The sequence below is a fragment of the Homo sapiens genome, chromosome 7 (assembly GCF_000001405.40).
Source record: "Homo sapiens chromosome 7, GRCh38.p14 Primary Assembly".
Classification (NCBI taxonomy): Eukaryota; Metazoa; Chordata; class Mammalia; order Primates; family Hominidae; genus Homo; species Homo sapiens.
The window spans coordinates 139,553,832-139,561,569 of NC_000007.14; the positions used below are offsets into that span (position 1 = coordinate 139,553,832).

At 44.5% G+C, this 7,738-nt stretch overlaps 1 annotated feature.

Annotated features, from left to right (window-relative positions):
- Window positions 666-755: an enhancer, noted in NCBI's record as "active region_26764". NCBI's record gives its function as "activates an Ori minimal core promoter by ATAC-STARR-seq in GM12878 lymphoblastoid cells {active_cell/tissue: GM12878}" and the evidence as "EXISTENCE:reporter gene assay evidence [ECO:0000049][PMID:35858748]".

Sequence of the window (7,738 nt, forward strand, 5' to 3'; positions counted from 1 at the left end):
AATTTGAGAGAGATGATTTAGGGTATCTGGCAGAAGAAATTCCTAAGGAGCAAAGCATTCAAGAGGTTACTTGGATGCTATTAAAGGCATTCCGTTTTATAAGGGAAGCAGAGCATAAAAGTTCAGAAAATTTGCAGCCTGACAATGTGATAGAAAAGAAAAACCCATTTTCTGAGGAGAAATTCAAGCCAGCTGCAGAAATTTGCATAAGTAAGGAGGAGCCGAATGTTAATCCTCAAGACAATGGGGAAAATGTCTCCAGGGCATGTCAGAGGTCTTCATGGCAGCCCCTCCCATCACAGGCCCAAAGGCCTAGGAGAAAATGGTTTCATGGGCCCAGGGTCCCTGTGCTGTGTGCAGCCTAGGGACTTGGTGCCCTGTGTCCCGCCTGCTCCAGCTGTGGCTGAGAGGGGCATTGTAGAGCTTGGGTCATGGCTTCAGAGGATGCAACCCCCAAGCCTTGGCAGCTTCCACATGGTGTTATCCTGGGAGTGCACAGATGTCAAGAATTGGGGTTTGGGAACCTTCTCCTAGATTTTAGAAGATATATGGAAACGCCTGGATGCCCAGGCAGAAGTTTGCTGCTGTGGGGGCAGGTGGCGCTCATGGAGAACTTCTGCTAGGGCAGTGCGGAAGAGAAATGTGGGGTCAGAACCTCCACACAGGGTCTCTACTGGGGCACCACCTAGTGGAGCTTTGAGAAGAGGGCCACTGTCCTCCAGACCCCAGAATGGTAGATCCACCCACAGCTTGCACCTTTCGCCTGGAAAAGCCACAGACAATCAATGCCAGCCCGTGAAAGCAGCCGGGAGGGAGGCCATACCCTGCAAAGCCACAGAGGCAGAGCTGCCCAAGACCATGGGAACCCACCTCTTGCATCAGCATGACCTGGAGTCAAAGGAGATAATTTTGGAGCTTTAAGATTTGACTGCCCAGCTGGATTTTGGACTTGGCTGGGGCCTGTAGCCCCTTTGTTTTGGCCAATTTCTCCCATTTTGAATGGCTGTATTTAACCAATGCCGATACCTCCATTGTATCAAGGAAGTAACTAGCTTGCTTTTGATTTTACAGGCTCATAGATGAAAGGGATTTGCCTTGTCTTGGATGAGACTTTGGACTGTGGACTTTTGAATTAATGCTGAAATGAGTTGAGACTTTGGGAAGACAGTTGGGAAGCATGATTGGTTTTGAAATGTGAAGATATGAGATTTGGGAGGGCCAGGAGTGGAATGATATGATTTGGCTCTGTGTCCCCACCCAAGTCTCACCTTTTAGCTCCCATAATTCCCACGTGTTGTGACAGGGACCTGGTGGGAGATGATTGAATCATGGGGGTGTGTCTTTCTGGTGCTGTTCTCGTGATGGTAAATAGGTCTCATGAGATCTGATGGTTTTAAAAACAGGAGTTTCTCTGCACAAGCTCTCTCTTTGCCTGCCGCTATCCATGTAAGATGTGACTTGTTCCTCCTTGCCTTCTGTCATGATTGTGAGGCCTCCCCAGCCATGTGGAACTGTGAATCCCATAAACCTCTTTCTTTTGTAAGAAAAGAAAGAGTATCACATGCCCAATCTCAGGTATGTGTTTATCAGCAGCATGAAAATGGGCTAATAAAGTGTAAAAGGAAAAAGCTATTATGAACATTCTTTTAGAAGTGTATTTATGTATGTATGTGTTCATTTCTCTTGAATAAATGCCTAGAAGTAGAATTGCTGGGTCATAGGGTGTTCATAGGAACTTTATATATAGGAAGTTGTCAGATCAATTTCCAAAGTGGCTATTCCATTTTACACTCCCATCAGCAAAGAATCAGTTTCATTTGCTCTAAATACTGTTGTCAGCTCCACGGGGTGTGTAGAGGTGTTTCATTATGATTTTAATTTACATTTTTCTGACGAATAGCATTGTTGAATACTTTTCTATTTGCTTATTGGCCATTTGTCTATCTTCCATTGTGAAGGGAATGTTCAGAAATTTCACTCATTTTTAAAAATTAGGTTGTTTGTCTTTTTATTCTTGATTCGTAGGAGCTGTGAGCTTATGCAATATTCTGGATACATTTCTTTCCAAGGTATATGTCTATGAACATTTTCTCCCAGTCCACTACTTATCTATTCATTTTTTAAATGATGATGTTTGATGAACAGAAGATTTTAATTTTGATACAGTCAATTTTGTTAGTTTTTTCTTTTGCACACCTTGCTTTTTTATGTCCTAAGAAATCTTTACCTATCTAAGATTGTGGAGACTTTTCTGCTATATGTTCTAGAAGCTCAATAGTTTTAACTTCTGCACTTAGATTTATGATCTATCTTGAATTGGTCTTTGTATATGTTGTGAGGTATGGATCAAGGTTCCTTTTTTTCCCATATAGACAGCCAGTTTTTCCATATAGACAGCCATTTGTTAAAGAAACTTTCTATTTCCCATTGAATTGCTTTGGTGCTTTAGTTGAAATGAATTGACCCTATAAGTGTGGATTTACTTTCTTTTCTTTTCTTTTTTTTTTTTTTTTTGAGACAGGGTCTGGCTCTTCCCCCACGCTAGAGTGCAATGGCATGATCTTGACTCACCACAACTTGCACCTCCCAGGTTCAAGTGATTCTTGTGCCTCAGCCTCCCAGGTAGCTGGGCTTACAGGCATGTGCCACCATGCCCAGCTAATTTTTTGTGTTTTGGGTAGATGTAGGGTCTCACTTTGTTGCCCAGGCTTGTCTTGAACTCCTGAGCTCAAGCAATCTGCCTTCCTCAGCCTGGATTTACTTTCATACTCTGTTTTGTTTCATTAATTTATTTGTTTATCTTTACAACAATATTGTAATTCATTCTTTTTCAAAATTGTTTTGACTCTTCTTTGGGTTCTTTAATTTTTCATATACATTTTTGTAATCAGTTTGTCAATTCTACAAAAAAAATTCTGCTAGGATTTTGATTGAGATTGCATTGCTATAAATCAGTTGAGAGAGGAAATTTTAACAATGAGCATTTCAATCAATGAGCAAGGTGGCTCTCTGGATTCATTTACAATTTAAAAAATTTTCTCTCAGCAATGTGTTACAAGTTTTAAGGATAAGCTTTTACATATTTTGTTAAATTTATCCTTAAATATTTTTTATTTTTGATGCTATTATAGATGGTATTGTTTTTAAAATTTCATATTCCAATTATTTGTTGCTAGGATAAAGAAATGCAATTGATTTTTGTACACAGGCCATTTATCCTGTAACTTTGCCTGAATGACTTGTTAGCTCTAGTAGATTTTTATGTAGATTGCTTAGGATTTTGTATGCAATCATGTTTTCTCTGAGTAAAGACAGTTTTACGTCTCCCTTTTCAATATTTTTATTATATGGTGTTTCATATTATACAATCTTGTATTTTGTTGTATTTTTTTTTAACTTCTATAAATAATGTTGAGTAGAAGTAATGAGGCTGGGTGTGGTGGCTCACGCCTGTAATCCCAGCACTTTGGGGGGGCCAAGGCAGGCAGATCATGAGGTCAGGAGATCAAGACCATCCTGGCCAATATGGTGAAACCCTGTCTCCACTAAGAATACAAAAAATTTAGCTGGGTGTGGTGGCACGTGCCTGTAATCCCAGCTACTCGGGAGGCTGAGGCAGGAGAATCATTTGAACCTAGGAGGCAGAGATTGCAGTGAGCCAAGATCGCGCCACTGCACTCCAGCCTGGCGACAGAGCGAGACTCTGTCTCAAAAAAACAAACAAACAAAAACAAAACAAAAAACAAACAAAAAAAGAAACAGAATATATATGAAGACAGAAAAGTGTATGTCAAGTGATCCTTTTCAAGGTTACCTGTAATCTAGCATTGCTTTAGAAGTGGCAGCAAATGAGGAGTGACCCTGTAGAAGAGACCATAGACCTAGAGATCTCTGTACATGGAAAACAAGCATTTACAAAATGGAATCGATGGTCTCACAATACTGGATGAAATTTCTAGTTTCTAGCTATCAGTTTCTTCCGTATAGAATGAGGGTTGGGGTTGATGCTGAACAGTAGATTTTTTTCATCCTCAAGTAGTGCAAGATGGTGTATGGGAAGCCATGAAGGAAATAAATTTCCTAAGAGGAAGTTTGTGTGGTCCAAGTTGGATATAAAATGTGTGAGGCAGGTGAAAGAAAGAGTCCCAGATTCCTTTTGTTTCTTGAGACAGTCTCGCTTTGTTGCCCAAGGGTGGAGTGCAATGGTGTGATCTGGGCTCACTGCAACATCTGCCTCCTGAGTTCAAGTAGCTGAGATTACAGGTGTGAGTTACTGCGTGCGGCACAGATTCCTTCTTTAAAGCCAAATGCTGGCAAAAAGGAAGGACTGAAAATGAAAGTTAAGAGACATGAGGACATCCAACCCTAATAGTGTTACATCTACACTTTGCTCTTAATGTATGCTCTGCTTTTATACTTAATGTTTGCTTAAAGTTAGCTATTCTAGTAAAGGGTTGGAAAACACATATAAGCTGGACTGTCATAAAAAACTTTACACTTGTTTGGAACAGGCTAGGGCATAGCTGCTGACACCCAGCCATGTGCCCTAAAAGCAAGGAGGGGTTTGTGATGCAGGAGCACGCCCTCTAGAGCCAATGCCGCAACAGGGACCACCACAACCTGGCTGCTAAGTGAGGGCGCCATTTACTTGTTTGCTTGGTCTTTCTCTAGGGGCCGCCTTGGCTATTAAGCAGCTTATCATTTTTATTACCCCAATATTAAATATGCTTAAGGGAAATATCGACAACAGTAAGTTTATCTTTTCACTTTAGACTTAAGCAACTTTATGGTGCACGAGTGTGAGCTCCTTGGATACAGCTACACTGCCTTCCCCTTTGACCCACTCGTATCTTTTTTTTTTTTTTGAGATGGAGTCTGGCTCTGTTGTCCAGGCTGGAGTGCAGTGGCATGATCTCGGCTCACTGCAACATCCACCTCTTGGGTTCAAGCCATTCTCCTGCCTCAGCCTCCCGAGTAGCTGGGAGTAGCCACCACACCTGGCTAATTTTTGTCTTTTCAGTAGAGACGAGGTTTCACCATACTGGCCAGGCTGGTCTTGAATTCCTGACCTCAGGTGATCCCTCCGCCGCCGCGCCAGCCTGGCCCACTCGTATCTCACTGGTGTGCAGAATCTACTTCCCTTTCCATTTCCACACAATGTGATTCCTCTCAATGCATTTGTCATAAAAATGACAAAATGCATGATGGAAGAATTCTGAAGCTTTATCCGAATGTGTTGCATGGATTTTATGTAGTTTACATTTTACCTGAGTTGAATTTAATCCGAGTTGAAGTGTGGGCCACATTCAGGGTTTTGTTTTTATTACTGGAATTCTGGGAGATGCTGAATTTGGAGAGTGGAAAGGTGGGTTGGGGGTTGGATGAAGGTGGGCTGAGGGGTTTGTTCATTCACCCGAAGGTTCATTGACCACCCACTCTGTGCCTGGCATCATAATAAGATGCCCTGGAAACAGATGAAAGACAGATCTTTACTTGCAAGAATGTTAGGGTTTTGTAGGGAAGGAAAATAAGGGAAGCAATGTTGACAGTGTGGCCTAATGAGAACAATGCACAAGGCGCTGGGAACCGAGACCTGCGCTGACTGCCTCAGTCAGGAGCGTTAGGGCAAGCTCCCTAGAGAGGGCACTCAGGCTGGTTCTTGAAGGACATTTAGGAGACACGGCTGAAGATCTGAAAGAGGGAGGGGAGACTTGACGGAGAAAGAGCCCTCGGGAGAGAGGAAAGGACGGGGGAAGCACAGGGCCTTCCTCTCCTATATAGGGCTGACGGGATCCGAGGCGGCAAGGCAGATGCCACTGCGACTGGAGGAGGGGGATGAGGGCACTCTGTCCAGCAGCCTTAACCTCTTTGGGTTGCCTGGGGAGTAGAGGTCTCATGAGAGTGGGGCTCAGGGCCTGGAGAGATCGGTGTTTCCCATTAGCCACAGAAGTTGCTGCTGGAACAGAAGACCTGGCGAAGCTGGAGGTTATTCGTTTTCAGGGCTTGGTGGTCTTCCCCAGCAGCCCTCGGAGCAGAGGTGGACAGCAGAATCACTGAGCCATTGCGAGGGGGTGTGGCAGAGGCAAAAGGCTGTGAGCTGAGGGTGTAGGGGAAAAGGTGGGTGGAGGGAAGGGCTGTGGAGTTTAGTCTGGCCAACCCAGAGGCACAGAAGACCGAGGGCTTGGAACCCAGAGCTCCCCAGACTTGAAAATCCTGGAAATGGAAGCCAGGATGAGTGCTGGGTGGAGAAACAGGACACCTTGTGCATTGCTGGTGGGAATGTGAAACGGTACAGCTGCTGTGGGGAACAGAATGATGGGACCCCAAAGGGTTAATCTTAAAATTGCTGTAGGATCCGGCAGTTCCCTTGTGGGTACACTCCCGGAAGAACTGAAAGCAGGGATTTGAACAGATCTTTTGCACACCAATGTTCACAGCAGCATTTGCACAACAGCCAAAAGGTGGAAGCAACTCAAATGTCCATCAACAGATAAATGGATCAGCCAAATGTGATCTCTCCATACAATGGAATATTATTCAGCCATGAAAAGGAATGGAATTCTGATGTATGCCATAACATGAATGAACCCTAAAGACATTATGCTAAGTGAGATAGACCAGACACAAAAGGACAAATATATGATTCTACTTACATGAAATATCTAGGATAGGCAGATTCATGGAGACAGAGTAGAAGGGTGGTTGCTAGGCACCGGGTGGAGGGAGAAATGGGGAGTTGTTAATGGGGACAGAACTTGTGTTTGGGATGATGAAAAAATTCTGGAAATGGTGGTGACACCTATACAATAATGTGAACGTATTTAACGTTGCTAGTAGTCCACTTAAAATGGTAATTTTATATTATGTATATTTTACCATAATTTAAGACAAAAAGAGTGTCAGAAGGCTGGGAAACCCCAGTCCCAGCAGGATGTGGCGTTTCTTAGGCTTGCTGAGGTGGAGCTGCTGCAGGCACAGCGCCTGGACGGGGCTGTGGCGCACGTAGCTCAAGTGCGCAGTGGCAAGGGCCCTGGCAATGGGCCAGCAAGCCACGAGGCTCCGGGTGCTGATGGTGTCTGGTGAGACGGCAGGGCCTGGGTGCGGAGGATCCGGGATGCATATTGGAAAGCTTCCAGGACAGCAGGTGACAGCCACACCTTAGGTGTCAGGGACAGAGATTGGGAGCAGATGGGGCTGAAATGGCTTGGAAGAGGCAGCAGGAAGCTGGGAGACTCTTAGCCCCACTCAACTGCATGGGAATTGGTAGTAATGTGATCTCAAGGCCCCCCACCTCTCTCTGCAAATGTTCAATGCAGTGGTGGCTTCTACACATTTCCAGAGCCATTAAATAATCTCGGCCCGGCGCAGTGGCTCATGCCTGTAATCCCAGCACTTTGGGAGGCCGAGGCAGGTGGATCATCTGAGGTCAGGAGTTCGAGACCAGCCTGACCAAAAAATGGAGAAACCCCATCTCTACTAAAAATACAAAATTAGCCGGGCGTGGTGGTGCATGCCTGTAATCCCAGCTACTCGGGAGGCTGAGGCAAGAGAATCACTTGAACCTGGGAGGCGGAGTTTGCAGTGAGCCAGGATCGTGCCATTGCCCTCCAGCCTGGGCAACAAGAGCAAAACTCCATCTAAATAAACAAACAAACCCCAAATATGTTACTTGTAACAATAACCTCTTCGCTTTTATGACAGGTCTGGTTCCAGGATAAATAAGCATGCCAGGCAGGTG